Consider the following 27,956-nt stretch of genomic DNA (forward strand, 5'->3'; position numbering starts at 1 on the left):
ACAGGCGTGAGCCACTGCGTCAGGCCGAGCATCTGTATATTAAACTTTCCCCATTCAAATTTCTGTGTGGTTTCTGTCTCCTGACTGGATTCTGATATAATGCTTAACAACCTTTCTAATTACAAAGGTATTACATATAAAATCAGACAAGCAAGAAGACAATCCATCCCACCTTCTAGTACTCTTGCCCTCCAGAGGTAGCTCCAGTTAATATTTTAGTGCTAAACTAGATTTATTTTTGTTTTAAATAGAAAAATAATGCAGGCACGAAAGTAAAACAAAAAACAGTACAGAATGGGAGAGACTGAAAAGTAAGAATGGCTTCCAGGCCCACTTCCTAGAGGTACGCACTATTAACATTTTTAGATATAAACTTCCAGAAATTTTTTTCCAGTTTTATTTAGGTATAATTGACAAAATTATTTATATTTCAGTTGTACAACATGGATGTTCAACATGTTTTGGTGTACATATACTTTCTGATATTATAAATGGTTACCACAAGCAAGCTCAGTAACATATTCAGAAATTCTTAATGTAGCTAGCAATATAAGTGGTTTTGTTTTTTGTTTTGAGACAGACAGGGTCTTGCTCTGTTGCCCAGGCTGGAATGCAGTGGCGCCATCTTGGCTCACTGCAACCTCTGCCTCCCGGGTTCAAGCAAGTCTTGCGTCTCAGCCGCCCTAGTGGCTGGGACTACAGGCATGTGCCACCACACCTGGCTAATTTTTGTATTTTTAGTAGAGATGGGGTTTCACCATGCTGGCCAGGCTGGTCTCGAATTCCTCACCTCAAATGATTCGCCCGCCTCAGCCTCCCAAAGTGCTGGGATTACAGGTGTGAGCCACCGCACCCAGTCATAAGTGGTTTTCTAAACAAATGAGACCACACCATACATACTGTCCCTATATTTCATACTTGGGCAAGGGGAGGGGAGTTGACTTTTTTCTTAGTGAGAATAAAAATGAGGATAAAAGTATGGTTGTTTACCAACTTATAGTAGTATCATGAATTTCGAATGGTCTTCTGGCCGTTCAGAAAACTACTTAACTGGTAGGAACGAAATTCTGGACACTGACATTGATATAGACACTCATATCAAATATAATACTATGAAATACTATGATATGGAAATAATATGCAATCACTAGAGATAAAATATTTTCTACCCAAGTAGAGTGGATTCATAAGAAAATTCTAAATTATAGCATATGTTGAACTCTGAGAAGCCTCTGGAATGAAGTCATTTTTCCCTAACCCCTGTTTCCTCTTTATATTGGCAGTGGATAAATGGAAAGTAAGTTAACTCTACTGTACCAAAGCTAGTTCAATATAGAAAACAGGTTCTACAAGGATTAAGGAATATTCTACAAGGATTAAGGAACATCTCTTGGCCCACAGAAGATTCATGTGGTTCCTGTGTTAAACCCGTTTCATCCATGTATGAAAGTGATTCAACCGTTAAGTTAGCCATTTATTATATAAATTGAATACTTCTTCCATATTGTGGCTTTTAGATAGATTGGCAGACCTGTCCCCAACCCCTTCCCTGTTGACCATGGACAATGGAGGGTTAGCTGTATAAACTTGATTGAAGGGTTTGCCTTTAGCTGGGGTGGATTACTCAGGGACCTCAAAGGTATTGGTGATGATTTATTTCTTGAGCTTGGTGGTGAGTATGCAGGACTGTGTTTTGTTTTGTTTTGTTTTTTAGCAAGCCTTACACATTTTCTTTTGTATGCAATATTTAATAAAATAATTTTGGATAATTTGGTTTTTAGCATTAATCAACAACTTTTTTTACATCCTCAATATGCCCCAAGACAAATTATTGATTCAGCAGTTTTTAGCTGAATCTTTTATTTCTGAATGATTGGAGAGAACGGCAGTATCCATTTCTGGAGAATAGTTAAGTACTTAGATTGAGGATGTCTTTCTCATCACAGGCTGGTCTCAAACTCCTGGACTCAAGTGATCCTCCTGCCTCAGCTTCCCAAGTAGGTGGGATTACAAGCACGTGTCACTGTGCCCAGCTTAATATAATATTTTGAAAATATCTCCTTAAAAACCCCAAAGAGCTGATGGGTTAATAAAGAACCACCTGGCAAAAATCTAAGGGAGAAGCAGAAACCAAAGAAGTACAGCCAAGCCTAAAGCACTGACGCCATTGTGCTGAGAGTTTCACCATCCTGGACAAATATGAGCTTCTCTTTTGGTCTCACAGGAGGTCACATGCCAAGGCACATCATGCCTACAAACCAGACTAAATTGGCAAGTCACAGTGGCTCACGCTTGTAATCCCAGCATTTTGGGAGGCCGAGGTGGGTAGATCACTTGAAGTCAGGAGTTCGAGACCAGGCTGGCCAACATGGTGTTCAGTGTTTACTAAGTTAAGGAATGATGGTGCCTAAGTCATTTAGCTAAATGATGTATTTAAGAAAGATGGCTGCACCGTTTTCCATGAACTATTAGGATAGGCTGGTGAGAAACAGGGAAATACTTCCAATGACTACGGATTAGCAGATTTCCTTCCTGCTGAGCTGCCAGATCTGTAAGTTGCAATGTAAGACCAGCCTAACCAAAAACAAAATAAAATAACCCTACAAATTATTTTGGAGTGGCAACATTATATTAGGGATTTCTTTCTTTTTTTTTTTTTTTTCTGAGATGGAGTTTTGCTCTTGTTCCCCATGGAGTTTTACTCTTGTTCCCCAGGCTGGAGTACAATGGCGCGATCTCGGCTCACATTGCAATCTCTGCCTCCCAGGTTCAGGTAATTCTCCTGCTTCAGCCTCTCAAGTAGCTGGGATTACAGGCATATGCCACCATGCCAGCAAATTTTTGCATTTTTAGTAGAGGCAGGGTTTCACCATGTTGGTCAGGCTGGTCTCGAACTCCTGACCTCAGGTGATCTGCCCTTCTCGGCCTCCCAAAGTGCTGGGATTACAGGTGTGAGCCACCAGGCCCGGCCTATATTAGGGATTAAGAACTCAGATTTTGGAGTCAAAATTCCTGTATTTGAGTCACAGATATACATTTCCTTAGCTGGATATTACGAATTACTTTATCTCTTTATGTCTCAGTTTTCCCAGCTACAAAATAGCATTAATAATAGTACTTTACTTTCGCCAGGCACAGTGGCTCATGCCTGTAATCCCAGCACTTTGGGAGGCCGAGGCGGGAAGATCATGAGGTCAGGAGATCGAGACCATCCTGGCTAACACGGTGAAACGCCGTCTCTACTAAAAATACAAAAAATTAGCTGGGCGTGGTGGCAGGCACCTGTAGTCCCAGCTACTTGGGAGGCTGAGGCAGGAGAATGGTGAACCTGGGAGGAGGAGCTTGCAGTGAGCCGAGATCGTGCCACTGCACTCCAGCCTGGGCGACAGCGCGAGACTGTCTCAAAAAAAAAAAAAAAAAAAAAAAATAATAATAATAATAATAGTACTTTACTTCATAGAGTGGGTATGAAGACTGAGTTCATATTTGTGAAGTGCTTAGGATACTTCCTAGTGTGTAGTAAAGGCTCAATAATTACAAACAGCACTCTGCTTTCTTAATGAGAAAGAGTGCTATTCCTCACAATTTACCATGGATACAGGCTACACCCTTAGAACCACAGGCACTTTAACTCTTAAATAAATTATTGGCCAAGTAGCTTTTCCAACTTACGTAAAAACAAGTATATTAAAGTGCCATCCTTACCTAGTTTGGAAGGATCATACTCAGCTGAAATTTGGATCAATAATTTCTCCATATGGTGGAAGTTTGGAAATTCTTCAGGAATGACTGAAAAAACATTTATATTGCCCTCCAGATCCACAGACAGTTCTTTCAGGCACAGGAACTTATCCAGATTAGGAAAGATTTGGTCTGGAAAGCAGCACAGTTTCCCATTATTAATCTAAAGAGTTCTGAATGGACATTTTAAAACTGTCATTTTGATTCATCCAGCTATTTTCACATGCAAACCTTCCACATACCATAAAACATTCTTTTTTTTTTTTAAAGAATACATATATGAAGATATTGCTTTTTGCAGCTTATGCACTGTATGGGAAGCCCTGTGCTACTCTTCAGACTCACAAAAAGAAATACAGCATCTCGGCTAGGCGCAGTGGCTCATGCCTGTAATCCCAGCACTTTGGGAGGCTGAGGCGGGCGGATCACGAGGTCAGGAGTTTGAGACCAGTCTGGCCAACATAGTGAAACCCCGTCTCTACTAAAAATACAAAAAAAAAAATTAGCTGGGTATGGTGGTGTGCATCTGTAATCCCAGCTACTCAGGAGGCTGAGGCAGGAGAATCACATAAACCTGGGAGACGGAGGTTGCAGTGAGCCAAGATCGCGCCATTGCACTCCAGCCCAGGCTACAGTGTGAGACTCCGTCTCAAAAAAAAAAAAAAAAAAAAAAAAGAAGAGAAAAGAAATATAGCATCTCTTCAACAAACGGTTGGGGACAACTGGATTTGCACATGCGAAAGAATGAAGTTGGATTCCTATCCCTCACCATGTAAAAAAAATCAACTCAAAATGGATCAACGACCTAAATATAAAAGCTGAAATCACACAACTCTTAGAAAAAACATAGGAGTTAATCTTCATGACCTTGGATTTGGCAATGGATTCTTAGATAGGACACCAAAAGGACCAGCAATAAAAGAAAAAAACAGATAAATTGGACTTCGTCAAAATTTAAAACTTTCGTGCACAAAGGACATTATAAATAAAGTAAAATGACAACCTATGGAATGGGAAAAATATTTTCAAACTGTGTATCTGATAACAGGTTGAAATCCAGAATATACAAATAACTCTTACAATGCAACAAAAACAACAACAATTTTTAAATGAGCAAACAGATATTTTTTCAAAAAGTGAAAAGATACTTAACATCATTTTCATGATTTGCATTAGAGAAATGCAAATCAAAACCACAATGAGATACCACTTCACAACTACTAGAACGGCTTTATGATAATCACAAAACAAAATGGGCTGGGTGAGGTGGCTCATACCTGTAATCCCAGCACTTTGGAAGGCCAAGGTGGGTGGATCATTTGAGCCCAGGAGTTCAAGACCAGACTAGGGGCCAGGCACGGTGGCTCATGCCTGTAATCCCAGCACTTTGGGAGGCCGAGGTGGGTGGATCACCTGAGGTCAGGAGTTCAAGACCAGCCTGGCCAACATGGTGAAACCCCATCTCTACTAAAAATACAAAAATTAGCTGGGTGTGGTGGCGGGAGCTTGTAATCCCAGCTACTTGGGAGGCTGAGGCAAGAGAATGGCGTGAACCCAGGAGGCAGAGCTTGCAGTGAGCCGAGATTGCGCCACTGCACTCCAGCCTGGGGGACAGAGCGAGGCTCCATCTCAAAAAAAAAAAAAGAAAGAAAAAGAAAAAAGACCAGACTAGGCAACATAGCAAGAATCTGTCTCTACAAAAAATAAAAAATTATCCAGGCACGGTGGTGCATGCTGGTAGTCTCAGCTACTCAGGAGGCTGAGGCAGGAGGATCACCTGAGCTCAAGAGGTTGAGGCTGCAGTGAGCCATGATTGCACCACAGCACTCCAGCTTGGGCAATAGAGCGAGACACTGTCTGAAAAACAACAATGAAAACAAAAACAGGTCGGGCACTGTGGCTCATGCCTGTAATCCTAGCACTTCGGGAGGCCAAGGTGGCTGGACTGCCTGAGCTCAGGAGTTCGAGACCGGCTTGGGCAACATGGCGAAACCCCATCTCTACTAAAAATACAAAAGTTAGCCAGGTATGGTGGTGCACACCTGTAGTCCCAGCTACTCAGGAGGCTGAGACAGGAGAATTGCTTGAACCCGAGAGGTGGAGGTTGCAGTGAGCCAAGATCTCGCCACTGCACTCCAGCCTGGGTGACAGAATTAGACTCTGTCTCCACAAAAACAAAAATTAACAAGTGCTGAAGAGGATGTGGAGTAATTGGAACCTTTGTACATGGATAGTGGGAATGTAAGATGGTGCAGCTACTGTGCAAGTTCCTCAAAAAGTTAAACATAGAACTACCATATGAATCAGCAATTCTGCTTCTAGGTATATACCCAAAATGATTAAAAGCAAGAACTTAAACCGATACTTATAATGCCAGTGTTCATTGCAGCATTATTTATGATAGCCAGAAGGTAGAAACAACCCAAGTGTCTCTCAGCAGCAGAATGGATAAACAAAATGTACTATATACATACCATGGAATATTAGCTATAAAAAGGATGAAGTTCCTTTTCAAAGTTGATACATAATAATTGTACATATTTATGGAGTACATGTGAAGGAATGAAATTCCAATATAGGCTACAACATGATGTACCTTGAACAGTATGCAAAGTGAAATAAGCCAGACAAGTGATAATGCTTATAAACAATATCTAGAAGAGGCAAATTCATAGAGACAGAAAATAGAAGAGAAGTTATCAGGGGCTGGTGGGAGGGAAGATTTTTTTTTTTTTTTTTTTTTTTTTTTTTTGAGAGGGAGTCTCACTCGGTAGCCCAAGCTGGAGTGCAGTGGCATGATCTGGGCTCACTGCAACCTCTGCCTCCCAGGCTTAAGTGATTCTCATGCCTCAGCCTCCCGAATAGCTGGGACTACAGGCGCATGCCACCACGCCCAGCTAATTTTTTGTATTTTAGTAGAGATGTGGTTTCACCATGTTGCCCAGGGTGGTCTCAAACTCCTGAGCTCTGGCGATCCACCCTCTTCGGCCTCCCAAAGTGCTGGGATTACAGGCGTGAGCCCCCGCGCCCGGCCCAATTTATTGTTTAATTGGGATGATGAAAAGGTTCTGGAGATGGATAGCGGTGATGGTTGTACAACATAGTGAATGCTTAATGCCACTGAGTTGTACACTTAAAATGATTAAAATGTAAGCTTTGTTACATGTATTTTACCATAATAAAACAGTACTTGAAAAAAGATGAAAAATTTTCTAAATTTGGTAAATGTCAACCCACACATTCCAAAAAAGTTCAGTGCACCTCAAGCAAGATACATACAAAGCAAAGCACACCTAGGCATATAACAGTCAAACTGCTTAAGACCAAAGCAATACTAGCAACAATTAGAAAATGAAAAAATATTTTTAATGACATTTACAATACTTTCAAAAGATATGAGTATCTAGGAATAAATTTAATGAAAGATGGGTTAAGTCTACACTGAAAACTATCAAATAGTGCTTAGAGGAGTTAAGACACAAATAGATGAAGATATTATTTCCCATTAATTTATTTATTTCCCAGGGACTACAGGCCTTTCTTCCTTTAGGCAGCTAGGGTGAAGGTAATTTCTAAGCATCATCTTACATATAGCTAATTCTTTTACTAATAACAGATAATTCATGTCTTTATTAAGAACCTTCAATAATTTAATATAAATATTTTATTCATTTTGTCTGAGTTATTTGAAAACCATTCTATTATTCAAGGACTTTTCACTAATTCATGCTACTGTCAAAAAAAAATTAGTGAAGGTTTATTTTATATCTGTTCTATCAATGAGCATGCATGCTTTCATGGCCTCAGAAGTTTTCAACCACTTAAAGTAAGAAAAAGAAATTATACATCAGAATAGTCATCCAAAATATATACAGGTATACCTTGTGACTGGATTGTCCCTGAGACTTCAAGAGATTCCAGGGAAGGCAGGGTGAGAAGCAGTTCCTGTTCGGCTGCGCTGAGTTCCAACTTGCTTATGGAGCACTTGGTGACAGAGGCCTTAGACAGCTCAAGAGCTGGGCGGATGCTTTCTATAAAGCCTCTGCTGTGGTTTAAATGGAGTTCGATGCGCTGTGAAGCTGAGAAAACTGTCATTAGAATCTCAAGCATATCCTGGCCTACAACATCAATATCATTCACATCGACTTCTAGACAGGGAATCTTGTACTGCTTTGGAGAAAGTTTCCAATAGCCAGTACTAAGGTCTGGTGATGCCCTGCGCTGCATATCCATATAGCTCTTTACATTATCCTCTTTTTCAGCTAAATTTCGCTCCCATTCATTCATAGGTTCAAAGGCAGAAGCATAGTCCTGATCTATAGTTGGCACCTGTGATTTGTCAAAACATGTTTCCAGAACTGAAAAATGTGCTCTGGGTGATGTCTTATTTCCTCGTATTGAGAAGTGGATGCTCCTCAACAATGACAAGCTTTCTGGGTGGTCGAAAAAGTACTGTAAGTTAAGCGCACCCAAAGTCAGTGTTCTCCCTTGAAGGAATTGCAAAACAAATGGAGAACACGCAGCAACAGTGTTGCTTTGATAAGCAGTTTTCAGGGCAAGAACCAGTAAATGTTCTGAAACCATTGAAAAGTAAGCTTGTGGACAAATTTGCCACAATCCCCTAAGTAACTGCATCTGCAGTGAAATTTCTGGCTGGTGCTTTAAGTAGTCATCATTTTCAGATATATTCTCCAATGACTCTTTGTTATCCACTAAATGGAGCAAATGAGACACAATTTTGGGCCCTGCTTTTGTTGAAGGGAGGCTGGAGACATAGTTCAAAAAATTGTTGTAGGCGCTTACAGTCATCATGGGTGAGTTGATTTGTTTCAAATGATACAGTCCCAAATCTTGATGTTCCTGCCTATCTGAATCCAGGAGTTCAATCAGCCTCATCCCCGCAAGAAATTCTTGGAAGGCAGGACTTAAAAACCGGTAGAATGGTCTTAGTCTCTGGGCTGTAAATTTGCTCATCAAGCACATGGTTAGATCTTCATCTTCATCAACCCCTGCTTCTGCGAGATCATCATCATTAAACTCAAAGCAACATGAAAAAAACCCTTTCAAGGCCAGCTCACCACAGGAGGACACAGTTGCTTTGAGAATTTCAGCTGTCGCTTTGTTCCTTAAGGAAAGGCGTTCCATATAGGACTTGAAAACAGCCACATCATCAAAGGATGGGTCAAAAGGATACTGAAACCAATGAGCACAGATCGCCGCCACAAAGAGAGGAGTTTTCTGTATCTTCTGCAAACTTTGGTTCTTTCCAAAGTAAACCATAAACTTTCGCAGACGAGTCATATTATGTGAAAAGAGCTTCCGTAATATACAGACAGTATTATAAAAGGGAAATGCTTTGATCTCTAGAATGGTCTCTAGGTATCGGCGGATGTCCCTGGCCCTGTTTGTACGGACAGCAATCAATAGGCAGGTCCGGGATAAGTGGTTTTTTTGAATCAGTTTTCCTATGACTTGAGGGATTGAACATATTTCTTTGTAGTCATCTAAAAGGAATAAGACCTGATTCTTTAACTGCTGGATAATGTTCCTCACGCACATTTCAGTAACAGATCCTTCTTTCTCTAGGAGCTGGTCACAGATGATACTGGCCAGCCCCTCGTCTGGTCTGGTGGAACTAAGGGAGAGGTAGAAAACCAGCTGGAACCTGTTTAACAGGGGACAGCATCCAGATGCCCACAGAAAAGCTATTTTCTTCAGGAGGACCGTCTTTCCACTTCCAGCTTCACCCTCCACACACATGACAGAGTTCAAGTTGCCAAAGACCTCAGGCAGCACCAGAGGTTCTTGCACAGGTTTGCTGATGTGTTTTGAAGCAATAGACAGATCACAGCCCAGCAAGTGGTCCGTGGCCAGATCGGAAGAGATATCAAGCAAAGACATGTGGCGGAAACTGGCGCTGGTATAAGCTGCTCTCAGCTGCTCATTCAGATTCTTTGCCTCTTGAAACCACTGGGCTTCACCCTGTGCCATTTCTGTGGAGAGAAAGAAAGGGGGGCACAACAGGGATTCATAGTCACATCTCCCTCAGTCTGAACGCCATGCCTTTTCATTCCATGATTCTGCCTGTCTACTACGAATGTGTTAGGATTTTCCACAGCCATCCATGATTCCCACATTGCGATCATCTCATAGGTTTTGGCACAAAATCGGAATGTGGGAAGCATGTGTCCAAAGTGCCACACTTGAAGCAGGGACCTAGACATAATGTGTGCTTATCATAAGCACCATGCATCTCAGGAAAGAGGCCAGGCAAAGTGACTCATGCCTGTAATCCCAGCACTGTGGGAGACCGAGGCAGGCGAATTGCTTGAGCCTAGGAGTTCAAGACCAGCCTGGCCAACATGGCAAAACCCTGTCTCTACAAAAAATACAAAAATTAGCCAGGTGTGGTGGCACATGCTTGTGGTCCCAGCTACTGGGGAGGCTGAGATGGGAGGATCACTTGAGCCTGGGAGGTCGACGCTGCAGTGAGCCATGATCTTGCCATTGCATTCCAGCCTGGGTGACAAAGTAAGACCCTGTCTCAAATAAAATAAAATAAAATAAAATGAATAAAAATAAAAATCTCAGGAAAGAAGTTTACTGATTGGTGCTTCTAAGGACTGGTTTGCTTGTACCTGAGACACGTTGCCTACTATCAGTTTGGTCCTGCCTGCACTCTGGAGAAGCCACAAGAATCTTGACTTTTGCTCATACACGACACTGTTGCAATGCTGCTCCTCTTTGGAAGCTCTTTGGACAATTATAAATACTCTTTTTTTTGCAACTGCCCTGTATACAAATATATTTACAAATACATATAATCCCACGTGCTACTTCAAAGTTCTTACCTGGCACTATAGGACCAACTGCTATTGAATCTTCAAGATTGCTTTCACTTGTGGTTTCCTTTGAAAAATAAAATCTTTTCTTAAATCAAAATTTGTATAGGAGAGTGGTGCATCATGTTGTAATCATTGGAGACTAAACATCTTCTAAACACAGCCCACCCTCAAATATTTATGCTGATTGAAGGGAGGGGTGCTCCAAATATAAAGCAATTAATAATCTGCAAACATCTGCAGGAATGTGTGTTCCTCAGTGGTTCATATATGATACAATCCATGGGTGATACTATCCAGGTAACGAGAATCATAGTGTCTTGAGCAAGAAGGTTCCTCCAAAAGTCATTAGGTGCAGCCTCTGTCCTTGGTTAACTACATTTTTAATATTACACATCCAGTACTTAGAAAGGTTATGTTTCTTCCTTAAAAAATAAGCTATTTCTATATCCCCAAACTTTTTTCTTTAGTGCCATTTTTCAATTCATATAGAAAATGAATCACGTGAATAGCAAGTTGGTTTTTGTGTGTGTTGGGGGTGGGGGGATGACAAACATAACATACCTAACACACAGCCTCAAAATAAGGTGGTATATGTGTGCATTAAATTAGTAGTGGCTTATATCCCAGAGAACTAGGTAGGATTTCTCAGCTTAAAGTGGTCAGCCTATTACCTGGGTTTATGATTTTGTTGGGCACTTGCTTTTGTTAAAGTAACATCTTCTCAACCCCTAAAAAGGCCAAGTAGCAAATCCAGCCTTATTGCCCTCCACATGAAGATCCAGAGAGGATCCATTTAGCCTGGATGCTAATCAACAAAGTCTAAGAGAGTCTGGGCCTTGAAGTAGAAGAGATTGACTATACATTTCATGAAGCTAGGTATTGTGCCCGACTGGTTTATTGTGATTTCCCCAATCTGTACCTAGAACATAACAGATGTTTAGTAGATGTTTGTAGAATTTATTAACTTATTTATGATGAGACATTCCTGTTCAAAACAGTTTTCAATTATATGATCATGTGCTGGTAAAACAGACAAGATGACGGTGTTCATTACCAGTAATTCACAAAGTTCACCACGGCTCTGAAGGTCTGGAGTCACTTCCGCAGAGGACTTCATATTTTGGAGAAATGGACAACTAAGTGTAAAAGTTAAAAGTTATAAAAATAGTTGTATGCATTTAAGTATTTGTGTTAGGTATTTTTGTTGTTGTTGTTGCTGTTGTTGTTTGTTTTGTTTTTTCAGAGACAGGGTCTCACTATGTTGCCCAGGCTGTTCTGGTTTCAAACTTCTGGCCTTGAGCAATTCTCCTCCCTAGGCATCCCAAAGTGCTGGGATGATAGGTGTGAGCCGCCAGGCCTGGCCTTGTATTAGGTTTTTAAAAACACTATTAGAGTTTTAGTGACAAGAATTAAGTATAAAACTATCATTTCCAGTGATTCTCTCTGTCAGTGTCATCAGGTAAGGCACTTAGGTTGTGGCTCTCTGCAAGAGAAATGTAAATGGTTTATAAAGTAACGGTAAAGGATATCAAGGGAATTTGGTGGAATGAGTGCGTATATGACACTCCTCCATGCAACCAACAAAAATGAACTTAAAGAATCAAAAATAGGAAAAAAAAAACCCTCTATTTATGAATTCTGGAACAAAAAACAACATAGTGGAAAAACTGGTGAAATCCAAATAAACTCTGGATTTTAGTAAATAGTAATGTACAGTATATGAATTGGTACACTGATGATTTTGACAAATATGCTAGTGTAAGATGTTAGCATTAGGGTAAATTGGGTATGGCAATATATAGGAACTCTTTGTATTACTTTGCACTTTCTGCAAATCTAAATAATTTCAAATAAAAATTTATTAAAAAAAGAAAAAAACTCTGTGAGTGCGGTGGTTCACACCCAAAATCCCAGCACTTTGGGAGGCCGAGGCGGGCAGATCACTTGAGGCCAGAAGTTTGAGACCAGCCTGGCCAACATGGCAAAACCCTGTCTCTATTAAAAAGAAAATTCCAAAATTAACCAGGCAGTGGTGGCGCACACCTGTAGTCCTAGCTACTTAGGAGGCTGGGGCACAAGAATCGCTTGAACCTGGGAGGCGGAGGTTGCAGTGAGCTGAGATTGTGCCACTGCACTCTAGTCTGGGCAATGGAGTGAGACTCTGTCTCAAAACAAAACAAAAAACAAACAAGGCCAGGCATGGTGGCTCACGCCTGTAATCCCAGCAGTTCGGGAGGCTGAGGCGGGTGGATCACTTGAGGTCAGGAGTTTGAGACCAACCTGACCAACATGGTGAAACCTCACCTCTACTAAAAATACAAAAATTAGCCGGGCGTTGTGGCGGACGCCTGTAATCCCAGCGACTTGGGAGGCTGAGGCAGGAGAATTGCTTGAACCCAAGAGGCAGAAGTTGAAGTAAGCCGAGATCGCACCATTGCACTCTAGCCTGGGCAACAGGAGTGAAACTCTGTCTCAAAAACAAACAAACAAACAAACAAAAAACTAACCAACCACAAACCACTCCATTGCCAGGTGCAATGGCTCATGCCTGTAATCCCAGCACTTTGGGAAGCCAAAGTAGGAGTTTCACTTGAGGTCAGAAGTTCAAGACCAGACCAACCTGTGCAACATAGAGAGACCTCCTCTAAAAATTAGCTAGCAGGGTGGCATGCATGTATAGTCCCAGCTACTTGGGGGTGCTGAGGCAAGAAGATCACTTGAGGCCAGGAGGTTGGGGCTACAGTGAGCCGTGATTGCATCACTGCACTCCAGCCTGGGTGACAGAGTAAGACCCTGTCTTAAACAAACAAAAAATTAAAAAAGAAACCCTCCGTCAGTATCAAAAGAAAAGAATGGCCACAAACATACTCTCTAAAAACTACTTGCCAATCTCGTGAAACTAGGACGCAAATACCCTCTAAACTCAGGTTTGATGTATGCTTGAAGAACAAGAGAGAAAGTTCAAAAAGAGCTCTAGTTGCAATTATTAAAATGGACAGATGAGAACTATACATGTGAGTAAGTCAGTGGCCTATTCCATGCTGTAGAATCACTGGAGAGCAGGAGTAAAGCAAAGGGACACTTTTTTTTTTTTTTTTTTTTTTGAGACAAGGTCTCACTCTTTTGTCCAGGCTTGAGGGTAGTGACACGACCAAGGATCAATGTAGCCTCCAACTCCCAGGCTCAAGTGATCCTCCCACCTCAGCCTCCCAAGTAACTGGGACTACAGGCACGTGCCACCATGCCAGGCTAATTTTTTTTTTTTCTGGGCTCAAGGTATCCTCCCACCTCAGTTTCCCAAAGTGCTGGGATTACAGGCGTGAGCCACTGCATGTGGCCCAGATACTTCATTTGTATTGCCTTCAGGTGACTTGGCGATGAGTCCAGAAATAGAAGCATAGCTTCAGGAAAACAACAAGTAGAACTTTTAACGTTTCTGTCCAAAGTCAGCCATGTAGAGGTAAATAAAAACAAACCCATAGGGAAGGGGTGAAGTGGCTTACAAAAGAAAAAAAATATTTTAATAGGCCCATCAAGGAAAAGAACTATGAAGGAAGGTAAAATATAAACTTATTCATACAAACAAATGCCAAATAAAGTCAGTTGCCAGCATAACTGCACTACAAAAAATGTGAAAGGGACCAGGCACAGTGGTTCACCCCTGTAATCCCAGCACTTTGGGAGGCTGAGGCAGGCAGATCATGAGGTCAGGAGTTCAAGACCAGCCTGGCCAACATGGTGAAACTCTATCTCTACTAAAAATACAAAAATTAGCCTGGCATGGTGGTGGGCACCTGTAATCCTAGCTACTCAGGAGGTTGAGGCAGGAGAATCACTTGAACCCGGGAGGCAGAGGTTGCAGTCAGCCGAGATCGTGGCGCTGAACTCCAGCCTAGGAGACAGAGCAAGACTCCATCTCAAAAAAAAAAAAAAAAAAAAAAAAAGTGAAAGGAAGCACATCATTTAAAAGGAAAATGATAGCAGATGGAAATTTGGTTCTACTCAAAGGAATGAAAAGTACCAGGAATGATAAGATAACTAAGAGGGCAAATATGAAAGACTTTTGCCGTTGTAAAAATGTACTTAAATTGTTTAAAGCAAAGATATAACATTATATTGTAAGATTTATTAAAGTACATGGAAATAAAATGTATGACAATAGCACAAAGGATGAGAGGGGAGAAATGGAAATATACTATTGTATGGTTCATACATTTTATGTCAAGTGTTATATATTTTTTTGACCCAGAGTCTCACTGTGTCACCCAGGCTGGAGTGCAGTGGCACGATCTCAGCTTTCTGCAGCGTCTGCTTCCTGGGTTCAAGCAATTCTCGTGCCTCAGCCTCCCAAGCAGCTGGGATTACAGGTGTGCGCCACCACACCCAGCTAATTTTTTTGTATTTTTAGTAGAGACGGGGTTTCACCATGTTGCCCAGGTTGCTCTGGAACTCTTGACCTCAAGTGATCTGCCTGCCTCAGCCTCCCAAATTACCGGGATTACAGGCATGAGCCACTGCACCCAGCTGTTATAATATTTTTGAAGATTACTATGATATGTTAAATAGGCATATGGTAAACTCTAGAGCAAGTAGTAAAAAGGTAAAATAAGGATTAATAGCTAATAAGCTGACAGAAATAAAATGGAGTACAAAAAAAAATACTCAAGGAGGGGGTAGAAAAAAGAAAAAAAAAAAAACCCTAAACCCTAGGAAGTCAGGAAAAGAAAAAGAAACAAAGAAGTGATGAAATAAATAGAAAGCAAATGGTAAAATAGGTTTAAATCCAACCATATTCATAATTGCATTAAATTTAAACGTTCTAAACATTCCAATTAGAAAGCAGTTATTGTCAGACTCTTAAAAAGCAAGACCTGGCCAGGCGTGGTGGCTTACGCCTGTAATCCCAGCACTTTGGGAGGCCAAGGCAGGTGGATCATGAGGTCAGGAGATCGAGACCATCCTGGCTAACACGGTGAAACCCCGTCTCTACTAAAAATACAAAAAATTAGCCAGGTGTGGTGGCGGGGTGCCTGTAGTCCCAGCTACTCGCGAGGCTGAGGCAGGAGAATGGTGTGAACCCAGGAGGCGGAGCTTGCAGTGAGCCAAGATCGTGCCACTGCACTCCAGCCTGGGCGACAGAGCAAGACTCCGTCTCAAAAAAAAAAAAAAAGAGAAAACCTGGCTGGATGTGGTGGCTCACACCTCCATCTCAAAAAAAAAGCAAGACCTGCTGGGTTCAGTGGTCCACACCTGTAATCCCAGCACTCTGGGAAGACAAGGCAGGAGAATTGCTTGTGGCTAGGTGTTCGAGATCAGACTGGGCAACATAGTGAGACCTTGTCTCTATAAAAAACTAACAAACTTAGCCAGGCTTGGTGGCATGTGCCTGTAGTCCCAGCTACTCAGGAGTCTGAGGTGGGAGGATTGCTTGAGCCTGGGAAGTCCAGGCTGCAGTGAGTCAAGACTGCACCACTGCACTCCAGCGTAGGCAACAGAGCGAGTCTGTCTCATAAACAAATAAAAAATAAAATAAAAGACCCCACTGTGTTGTTGCCTATAACAATTCACTTTAAGGCTGGGTGCAGTGGCTCATGCCTGTAATCTCAACACTTAGGGTGGCAGAGGTGGGAGGACAGCTTGAGCCCAGGAGTTTGAGATCTGCCTGGGCAACATAGTGAGACCCCGTTACCCACAAAAAGGAAAAGGAAAAAACAAGAATTGACTTTAAATATAGTCACAGATAGATTAAAAAGAAAATAATCTAAAAGATGTAACATGAAAAAACTAATAAAGGCCTAAAAAATACTATCAAGGATAAAGAGGGATATTTCTGTTTTTTAGAGACAAAGTTTTACTCTGTCACCCAGGCCACAGTACAGTGGCACAATCATAGCTCATTGCAACCTATACTCCTGAGCTCAAGCGATTCTCCTGCCTCTGCCTCCCAGGTAGCTGGGACTACAGATGCATGCTACCACACCCTGTTTGTTTTAAAAATTTTTTGTAGAAATGGAGTCTAGCTATGTTGCAAAGGCTAGTCTCAAACTCCTCGCCTTGTGCACTCCTCCCACCTCAGCCTCCCAAAGTGCTGGGATTATAGGTGTGAACCACCATGCCTGCTTGGGATATTTAATATATTCTCTGGAATATGAAAGACCAAAGGGCAAAAAAATAGCTAAGACACACTCTTGAAGAGAAAGAACAAGACTATTCTGCAGGAAAATATGAAAATAAGCTCAACTGCCAGGCGCGGTGGCTCACACCTGTAATCCCAGCACTTTGGGAGGCTGAGGTGGGTGGATCACCTGAGGTTGGGAGTCCGAGACCAGCCTGACCAACATGGAGAAACCCCATCTCTACTAAAAATACAAAATTAGCTGGGCGTGGTGGCACATGCCTGTAATCCCAGCTACTCGGGAGGCTGAGGCAGGAGAATCACTTGAACCTGGGAGGCGGAGGTTGTGGTGAGCCGAGATCGTGCCATTGCACTCCAGCCTGGGCAACAAGAGTGAAACTCCCGTCTCAAAAAAAAAAAAAGAAAGAAAAAAAGAAGAAGAAAATAAGCTTAACATTATTAGTAATTACACTGACAAAAATTAAAATTTGGGCAATACCAAGTTAGTGAGGAAGCAAATCAATAGAAACGCATCTAGGCCAATGGGAATGTAAATCAGTGCAACCACTTGGGAAAAAGCTTTGCATTATCTAGTGGAGTTGAACACCCGCAAAGTTCTATGACTCTGCAATTCTTTACTTTGTTATGTATCCTAGAGAAACACACATGAGCACTGGAAAATATGTACAAGAATGTTCATAGGGCATTATTTGAATTTGCAACACTCTGAAAACGACCCACGAGGTTAATCAACAGTAAAATAAGTTATTATATATTCATAAAATAATACACTATTTACCAATGAAAACAAGTGAACTACAACTGTGTAGTACATATAAATATGGATGAATCTCAAAAACATCGTGGAGTAAAACCAGCCAATTACAAGAAGAATCATGCAGTATGCTTCTTATTTGAACTTCAAGAATAGACAAAGCTAAATATGTTTAAGGATGTATATGTAGTTGGTAAAACCACAAAGAGAAGCAGGGGAATAATTAACCCAAACTGAGCATCACATTTACCTCTGGATTGGAGGGACAGGGATATAATCAGAATTAGGGGGTGGTTGGCATGCAGAGTTGTTTTTTGTTTTTTGATTTTTTTTTTTTGAGACAGAGTCACGCTCTGTCGCCCAGGAGTGCAATGGCGCCATCTTGGCTCACTGCAACTTCCGCCTCCCAGGTTCAAGCCATTCTCCTGCCTCAGCCTCCCTAATAGCTGGGACTACAGGCGTGTGTCACCAGGCCCGGTTAAATTTTTCTGTTTTTTAACAGAGATGGGGTTTCACCATGTTGCCCAGGCTGGTCTCGAACTCTTGAGCTCAGACAATCTGCCCACATCGGCCTCCCAAAGTGCTGAGATTACAGGCGTGAGTCACTGCACCCGGCCGCAGGGGTCTTTTAAGGCATTGATAATGTCCAATTTCTTGACTTTACTAGGAGGTTCATAGGTTGCTTTTTATTCATTCTTTAAAGCATACATAAAAATTTTAGGTAATCATTTGGAGACATACTGGTTTGCAGTTTTTTTAAGAGGCAAAGGAAGAGTAAAAATCCAAAAAGGAGTTGGCTGGGAGCAGTGGCTCATGCCTGTAATCCAAGTACTTTGGGAGGCTGAAGCAGAAGGATCATTTGGAGCCAGGAGTTTGAGACCAGCCTGGGCAACAAAGCAAGACCCCATCTCTACAAAAAAAAACTTTAAAAAATTAGTCGGGCATGGTGACACATGCTTGTAGTCCTAGCTACTTGGGAGGCTGAGGTGGGAGGATCACTTGAGCCCAGGAATTTGAGGCTACAGTCAGCTAGGATTGTACCACTGCACTTGCTCCAGCCTGGGTGACAGAGCCGAGACCCAGTCTCTTAACAAAAAAACACTAAAGGCCAGGTGTGGCGGCTCACACCTGTATTCCCAGCACTTTGGGAGGCTGAGGCAGGAGGATCACTTGAGGTCAGGAGTTCAAGACCAGCCTGGCCAACATGGTGAAACCCCGTCTCTACTAAAAGTACAAAAAATTAGCCAGGCATGGTGGGGAGGTACCTGTAATCCCAGCTACTTGGGAGGCTGAGGCAGGAGAATCGCTTGAACCCGGGAGGCGGAGGTTGCAGTGAGCCGAGATCACGCCACTGCACTCCAGCCTGGGTGACAGAGTGAGACTCCATCTCAAAAACAACAACAACAAAACACTAAAACTAATAATAATAATAATAGTATAAAAGGGAGTTGATCGATTCCAGAGTAAGTTCTAAATAAGACTAGACTGCATCCTAGCTTATCCTTCCAAGAATTAAGTAGAATGTCCCCATTGTTCTCAATAATTTATTATACACTAAGCCCAAATAAGAAAGAAAAATGAGGTAACTACTGCTATCAAAATACCTTCAAGGCAATAAAATTAGATAGAAGTATTCATTTTGTTTTATTTTTGTTTTTACCACTATACAAATGAGCAGGAAGCATTCATTTTAAAATCTGTATGTGTTCATATTCATTTCTAAAAAAAAAACTCTTACTAATTACATAGTGAAAACACAAATTTCTTCTTGCAATTAAACATTTCTAAAGAGTTTGATGGGTAAAAAAAAATTAAGTTTAAAGATTCATAGAAAAGAAATATTTCTTCATAAAATTTTAGAACAGATATTTTTCTGAAAGCTTCCAGCACAGGAAAAAAAAAAATTTTGTTTGCAGTAAAAGGATTGACAAGCAGAAAGGCATGGAACTTCTCGACAGCACATTAGGAACCAGTAGAAATGTAGCAGTGCCTCTACAATTTAGAATTAAAATGACTTCCAACCTATAATTCTACACCTAGCTAAACTATCAAATAAGTGTGAGAATACAGGAAAAACATATATCTAGATAGATCTATATGTCTGTATATGCATTATATGCAACTAAAAGTGTGTATTTCTTATGCAGTCTTTCCCAGGGAACTCCGATGAAGTGTTCCAACAAAATGAGCGAGTGAACCAAGAAGAGGATGACATTAGATCCAGGAGATACAACAGAGGAGATAATCTCCAGGATGCCTGTGAAGAAAGATCCCTGGATCCCAGGATGATTATAGGACAAGTTGTTCATAATCCAGCAGGCCAGAAGACTTCCAGGGAAACTCATTTCAAGATGAAAATGGACCAGCCGCAGTGGCTCACGCCTGTAATACCAGCACTTTGGGAGGCTGAGGCAGGCGGATCACTTGAGGTCAGGAGTTTGAAACTAGCCTGGCCAACGTGGCAAAACTCCATCTCTATTAAAAATACAAAAATTAGCCAGGCATAGTGGTGCATGCCTGTAGTCCCAGCTACTTGGGATGCTGAGGCAGGAAGAATTGCTTGAACCTGGGAGGCAGAGTCTGCAGTGAGCCGAGATCATGCCACTGCACTCCAGCCTGGGTGACAGAGCCAGACTCCGTCTCAAAAAAAAAAGAAAAAGAAAAAAAAAATGATGACTCTTTCAAGAAATGAAAATGATGAGATATCTGGTAGGTCTGAATGACTTAAGAGGAGATTTAAACATTTGGGATAAGTTGAAGATGAGCTGGTGTTCGTCTTCATTTATTTCATTTAAATAAATAAAATTATTAATACATGAATTTTATCTCAAGAAACAAAAATAAGCAATGTACATAAAAATTAAGCAGATGGCTGGCCGGGCGCGGTGGCTCACGCCTGTAATCAGAGCACTTTGGGAGGCTGAGGCGGGTGGATCACAAGGTCAGGAGATGGAGACCATCCTGGCTAACACGGTGAAACCCCGTCTCTACTAAAAAAATAAATAAAAAATAAATTAGCCGGGCGTGATGGCAGGTGCCTGTAGTCCCAGCTACTCGGGAGGCTGAGGCAGGAGAATGGCATGAACCCAGGAGGCGGAGGTTGCAGTGAGTGAGATCACGCCATTGCACTCCAGCCTGGGCGACAAAGTGAGACTCCATCTCAAAAAAAAAAAAAAAAAAAAAAAAAAAAATTAAGCAGATGGCTATAATTTTTTTAAAAATAGAAAAGTGTTGATGAGAAATGGGAAACCTCATACATTGTTGGTCAAACTGTATGCTTCCATTTAGAGGAAATAGTCAGAACAAATAAATCCATAGACACCAATTAGGTTGGTGTATCCCAGGGGCTGGGCATGGAGTGGGGTGGAGAGAGAAGGAGGGCCTGCTTAGTGGATACAGAGTTTTCTTTGGGGGCGATGAAAGTGTTTTGGAACTAGATAGAGGGGGTGGTTGCACAACATTGTTGTTGGTGGGAATTTAAAATGGTGCAAGCACTGTGGAAAAAACAGTTTAGCATTTCCTCAAAAAGTTAAAACAGGCCAGGCGCTGTGGCTCACGCTTGTAATTCCAGCACTTTGGGAGGCCAAGCCAGGTGGATCACTTGAGGTCAGGAGTTTGAGACCAGCCTAGCCAACATGGTGAAACCCTAAAAATACAAAAAATTAGCCGGGCATGGTGGCAGACACCTGTAATCCCAGCTACTCAGGAGACTGAGGCAGGAAAATTGCTTGAACCTGGGAGGCGGAGGTTGCAGTGAGCTGAGATCGCACCGCTGCACTCCAGCCTGAGCGACAGAGTGAGACTCTGTGTGAGAAAAAAAAAAAAAAAGTAAAAACATAGAATTACTATACAGCTAGCAATATCGTTGTTAGGTATATGCCCCAGAGACTTGAATACAGTTACATGCTCCATCAGATACCTGTACCCAAATGTTCCTATCGGTATTACTCATGGTAGCCAAAAGGTAGAAACAACCCAAATATCTACAAATAGATGAATGGATAAATAAAATGCAGTGTATCCATATGGAATATTACTTGGTCTCAAAAGGAAGGAAGTACTTATGCAAGCTACAACATGGATAAACTTCAAAACAATATGCCAAGTGAAAGAATCCAAATGCAAAAGGTCAAACGGTATGCTTCCATTTAGAGGAAATAGTCAGAACAAATAAATCCATAGACACCAATTAGGTTGGTGTATCCCAGGGGCTGGGCATGGAGTGGGGTGGAGAGAGGAGGGGGGCCTGCTTGATGGATACAGAGTTTTCTTTGGGGGCGATGAAAGTGTTTTGGAACTAGATAGAGGGGGTGGTTGCACAACATTGTGAATGTACTATAATAAATGCCACAGAATTGTGTACTCTAAAATGGTTTAATTGCTGTGCATGGTGGCTCACGCCTATAATCCCAGCACTTTGGGAAGCCAGGATGGGAAGACTGCTTGAGCCTAGAAGTCTGAGAGCAGCCTGGGCAACATAGAGAGACCCTGTCTCTTAAAAAAAAAAAAAAAAAAATTAGCTGGGTGTGAAGACATGTGCCTGTAGTCCCAGCTACTTGGGAGGCTGAGCGAGGAAGATTGCTTGAGCCAGAGAGGTCAAGGCTGCAGTGAGCCATGATTGCACCACTGCACTCCAACCTGGGCAAGAGAGAGAACCTGTCACAAAAAATAATAAATAAATAAATAAAATGGTTACTACCTGAATTTTACCTCAGGAAAAAAAAATAAGCTAACATACCAACAGGACAGTTATTACTTCCTAAAAAAATAAAAGGATATACAGGAAGGGAAAAATAAATAAAAATTTACCACAAGCTTCAGCTCCACATAGCATTTGTATAGTCATGATAATGTAAACATGTAATGTGAATATATGAATCTAGCCAAAACTATGCCATAACTATAAAGAGGGGAAGGCTAGTACAGGAAGGGGGTCATGGAGCAAAGGGATGAAAGACATGAAGACTCATCCTTCATAGCCTGAATCCGAGGAGTGGATAAAGACTCAATCTAAAGATAAAATAAGGCAGGAAATGAGGAAAAAGAAAAAAACTGTTGAAGTGCATCCAAAGTTGCAGATGGTTAACATTCATTCCACTCACTTGGGAAAACATCTGGTGTGATCGTCTAATGGGTCATCACCTTCCTGCCATTTCTCTAAACACCCTCCACAGGAAAAGCACTGGACGATGTCCTTTATACCTAAAAGTAAGGAAACTTGATCAGTGCCACTGGCATGGGCATCTGTCCATTAACATGCAGATAATAACCACCAGACCTGTAATAGTGAAAGCCTATTCAGTCTCCAGTTGGGTTTTGTGACAGTCAGAAGTTGGTTACCAGTGAGGCAATTTTCTATATAAGACTCTGTCCACCAATGGGGTAACTGGCAAGTAGTCATTGAATGCTCCTACACACCATGCACTTTGATGCACACCATCCCTCTGCCCCATTCTCCTTTGATCAACAAACAGATTGGCAACCAGAATCTGGAATTGAAGCTCCATGAGGGGGCTGGGCGCAGTGGCTCATGCCTGTAATCCCAGCACTTTGGGAGGCCAAGGCCAGCGGATCTCCTGAGGTCAGGAGTCTGAGACCAGCCTGGCCAACACGGTGAAACCCTGTCTCTACTAAAAATACAAAAATTAGCTGGGCATGGTGGCACATGCCTGTAATGCCAGCTACTCAGGAGGCTGAGGCACAAGAATCGCTTGAACCCAGGAGACGGAGGTTGCAGTGAACCAAGATAACGCCATTGCACTCCAGCCTGGGCAACAAGAGTGAAACTCTGTCTCAAAAAATAAAAATAAAAATAAGCTCTATGAGGGTAGAGGTTTTTGCTCACTAATGAATGACATGAACCTAGAAAAGTGCTTGACACTCATGTGGCACTCAATTAGTATTCGTTTAATGAATGAATCAGAAAGAATATATTTAGAGCTCACGGAAAAAAAAATACCAGCAAATCTAGCAGCCCTTATGTAAGTGAATGCATGAAGAATTAATTGCCTCTTACCACATTATTGCCATGTTTATTACACCAGAAATAGGATTAAGTCTCTTTGTGAAATTATATTTCTTTGGAAAGAAATTGGTATTTAGCTCTGCAAAAGGATCAAACTAGAAACAGAGCATTTCTCATCTTCCTTCCACTCTGGGAAAGCTGGGGCAGAGGAAAGCCTCCCAGAAATATGAGATCCTAGAGCTTGCAAGATCTGAAAACAGTCAGAGATGATTAGGATTTGTGTGGAGTGGTGGAGGATTGGAAAGGAAGAGGGGGAGCACACTGGTCAGAGGGGTCTTGCGGAAGGCTGACAAGAGGAAGACACAGTAGAGTAGGGAGAAATGGCAAACACTCTTTCCAAAGGCTTAAGATTGTGAGGCAGTCAGATTTTTTTTTTCCAATGGCACATGTCTGTTAGGTAGAGTGACAACTATATTCTGCTTCTCTGTGTTGCTCTATGGTATTTGTGACAACTACTTGATCTCTCAGTTAAAGATCTGCATTAACCTCCACTGTAACTTATGCATGTGTTCGGTTTGAGCAAGACCAGCAAGGTACCTAGGAACCTTTCCCTGATCATCTTGTATTTCAGGCAGAGATTTAGCTGACAGGAACCAGCCCATCATTTATAGATTGCAGAGGTGCTTCCTAATGACCAGCAGCTAAAGAGAAAATGCCACAATCTGGTGGAAGGCTCTACGTGTTTAGGAATCATGAAAATTAATTTCCTGATTTTCTCCTGCAGGCAGAATGTGGCAAAGATTGCTATCCATGTTCCTATTATCTCAAATCCTTCCATACTAATAGAAATCCCAATATTTAGCTGGGCACATTGTCACCCAGGAAAAAGATTAGGTTTCCCAGCTCCTCTTACAGCTAGGTATGGTCATCTGACTAATAATAATAATAATAATAATAATAATTATTATTATTATTATTATTATTTTTGAGACAGAGTTTCACTCTTGTTGCCCAGGCTGGAGTGCAATAGCATGATCTTGACTCCCCGCAACCTCCACGTCCCAGGTTCAAGCGATTCTCCTGCCTCAGCCTCCCAAGTAGCTGGGATTACAGGCACCCGCCACCATGCCTGGCTAATTCTTTGTATTTTTAGTAGAGACAGAGTTTCACCATATTGGCCAGGCTGGTCTCAAACTCCTGACCTCAGGTGATCCACCCACCTCGGCCTCCCAAAGTGCTGGGATTACAGGCGTGAGCCACCATGCCCGGCCCATCCAACTAAGTTCTGATTAAAGAAATATAAGCAGAAGTGTCCTGTGACAGTTTCTAGGAGCACTTTGTCAGGGGACAAGAGGTGAGGAGAGTAATGTGTAGAAAGAAAAGACATGATAATTATCACAAATAGAATATTTGTATTCATTGTTAGTCCAGACCTTAAGGTTTCAAATTTGAAGGTTTACCACCTAAGGGAGGAATAGAAAACTGGGAGAGGATTTATGATGCAGGAAAGAAAAGAGATGTATGCCAGGTGCAGTGGCTCACACCTGTAATCCCAGCATTTTGGGAGGCCAAGGCAGGAGGATTACTTGAGCCCAGGAGGTTGAGGCTGCAGTGAGCCATGATCTCGCCACTGCCCTCCAGCCTGGATGACCATGTCTCAAAAAAAATAGAAAGAAAAGAAAACGAATCTATAAGAAATGCTGAAGAGAGGCCTGGCGCGATGGCTCACACCTGTAATCCCAGCATTTGGGAGGCCAAGGCGGGCAGATCACGAGATCAGGAGATCAAGAGCATTCTGACTAGCATGGTGAAACCCTGTCTCTACTAAAAATACAAAAAAGTAGCTGGGCGTGGTGGCAGGCGCCTGTGGTTCCAGCTACTCCAGAGGCTGAGGAAGGAGAATCTCTTGAACCCGGGAGGTGGAGGTTGCAGTGAGCCAAGATCTGCATTCCAGCCTGGGCAACTCTGTCTCCAAGGGGGAAAAAAAAAGAAAAGAAAAAGAAACGCTGAAGCTAGTGGACATTGCTGAGTGTAGCTAAACGTAAGCCCAGGAGCATAAAGTCTATGTGGGAATTAAAGGTCAAGCAAGCAAGTGGGCACAACCTACTGACTCACCTGTGTAGAAAAGACCTGCTTTGGCCAGTGCTGCAACTCCCACAGCTGATTCCCGGGGCCAGTCCTTAAAAGAGTCCAGCCGTAGTTCTTCGTAAGCAAAGATGCTGTCATTGCAATAAGCTTGAATAAAAAGCACAAGGTGAGACCAGCAGGCTTTAGTCTTTTTTTTTTCTATATCTTTATTGCTGCTGCACAAATTAAAGAGACCAGTAGGCTTTGATATTGCAAGTATCAGCGTTCAAGTTGTCCCTTCACAGTTACAGATGGAATGATGTCTAGAGTTTGCTTCAAAATAAACGGGGCGGGGCGGGGGGGAAGACAAAAAGAGATAGGGACAAAAAATCAAAAGAAGAAATAAACAAGCAAAGCCTTTGGAAAATGTTTGAGTTTTTACCTGATGCCATAGGTAATTCTCTCTGGACCCAGGAATTCACAAAATGTTCTCCCTGAGGGAAATTAAAATTCAAGTTGTTGATTATCTGACTTTTTTTTTTTTTTTTTTTTTTTTTGAGGCAGAGTCTCACTCTGTTGCCCAGGCTGAAGTGCAGTGGCAGGTTCTCGTCTCACTGCAACCTCCGCCTCCTGGGTTCAAGTGATTCTCCTGCCTCAGCCTCCCGAGCAGTACAGGCATGTGCCACCACACCCGGCTAATTTTTTTTTTTTTTTTGTATTTTTAGTAGAGACAGACACGATGTTGGAGGTCTTTTTTTTTTTTTTTTTTTTTTTTTGAGACAGAGTCTCGCTCTGTCGTCCAGGCTGGAGCACAGTGGCACGACCTTGGCTCACTACAAGCTCCGCCTCCCAGGTTCACGCGCCATTCTCCTGCCTCAGCCTCCCGAGTAGCTGGGACCACAGGCGCCTGCCACCATGCCGGGCTAATTTTTTTTTTTTTTGTATTTTTAGTAGAGATGGGGTTTCACCATGTTAGCCAGGATGGTCTCTATCTCCTGACCTCATCATCCGTCCGTCTCGGCCTCCCAAAGTGCTGGGATTACAGACGTGAGCCACTGCACCCGGCCCATGTTGGAGGTCTTGAGGCTGGTCTCGAACACCTGATCTCAAGTGATCTGCCCAGCTCGGCCTCCCAAAGGGCTGGGATTACAGGCATGAGCTACTGCGCCCAGCCTGATTGTTTGACTTATGAAGTATATACCTATCTATGAACAAGAACTGAAGGAACTTTACCCCAGAATGAAGAGTTTCACTGGATGGAACGGCAGAGTCGGAGGAGAATTATTCCTTTAATTTTTATTTCTGTTGATGTTGCAATTGTTTTTATGCAGTGCAAGCAAACATACACACACACACACACACACACACACACACACACACACACGCATGCAAGCTGTGAATGTTTATGCATACTCAGGAGGAAGCCTTCTCAGGGTCACTGTTTCCGGAAACTGACCTTGAAAACAGACCTGCATTTAAATATCACAGATGTACTTTGACGAATGAGGAAGTAAGAGACATAGAATGGTAACTAAATTCATCAGGGTATTATATATTGAGCAACTGATTCTTCTGGGAAAGCTGCACCCAGTTTCTTTTTGAGGAAACACCTCTCTTCCCCCACTGTCAGGCCATGTTCTCTATAGAGTTCTGGTCTCCTGAGTCATGTTAATCAATAAATTCTCATTTTTGTTTAAGCCAGTTTGGATTCGATTTCCCATCACTCTCCACTAGGAAATTTTTACTGATTCAGGATAGTTAGCCAGCTAGGAAGAGCCAGCTCTGCAGCCCACTGTGGGTGACAGCGCCTAGGTCAGGAGATCTTAGCAAGCCTGCAGATAGGGGCAGCAGAGGGAAGCTGGGGCAAGTGGCTTCATTCATAAAGGGGAAGACTATCAGGAAGGCAAGCAGAGCCCGTCAGAAGCCAGCCCTGGAAAAAGAAAAAGGCTCTAGGTCAGCAAGTGAATGTGATATTTTTCACTTTGAAGATGGGAGCCAGGGGAATGAAAGGAGAAAGGAAGAAAGAAATCAAACCCATGACATAAAAAGAATGCCTATGCCCTTCTGAGTCAGACACTTACAGGTAATCCAAAAACTTGAGAAAAAAATTGCTGTTATACATTACCGTTATGTCAACAAATCCCTTGTAGCTTTGAATATACTGGGTAATTTCCTCTGAGGATTTCTTACTCCGAAGAAATTCACATCTGTAATTAATAAATATAATTAAAATTTACCCCAGTACTGTGATAGAGCTGTCCTATATCACAATGAACATTTATAAAGACGTATTGAATTGTTGAATTTTATTATACTTCAATAAAATTGCCAAAAAATTTACCACAAAACTTAGGAGAATTACCATTATTCTCATATAATTATTTGTTATTTCTATTAGTGACAACATGTGTAGTTATTTAAAATTAAATCTTCAGGTTAACTTTTTTC

At 42.0% G+C, this 27,956-nt stretch overlaps 1 pseudogene; it reads right to left on the bottom strand.

Moving 5' to 3' along the window:
• Nucleotides 1-17: 17 nt before the first annotated feature.
• Nucleotides 18-27,718, bottom strand: NAIPP4 (NAIP pseudogene 4; annotated as a pseudogene).

The sequence above is a fragment of the Homo sapiens genome, chromosome 5 (genome assembly GCF_000001405.40).
Source record: "Homo sapiens chromosome 5, GRCh38.p14 Primary Assembly".
Taxonomy (NCBI): domain Eukaryota; kingdom Metazoa; phylum Chordata; class Mammalia; order Primates; family Hominidae; genus Homo; species Homo sapiens.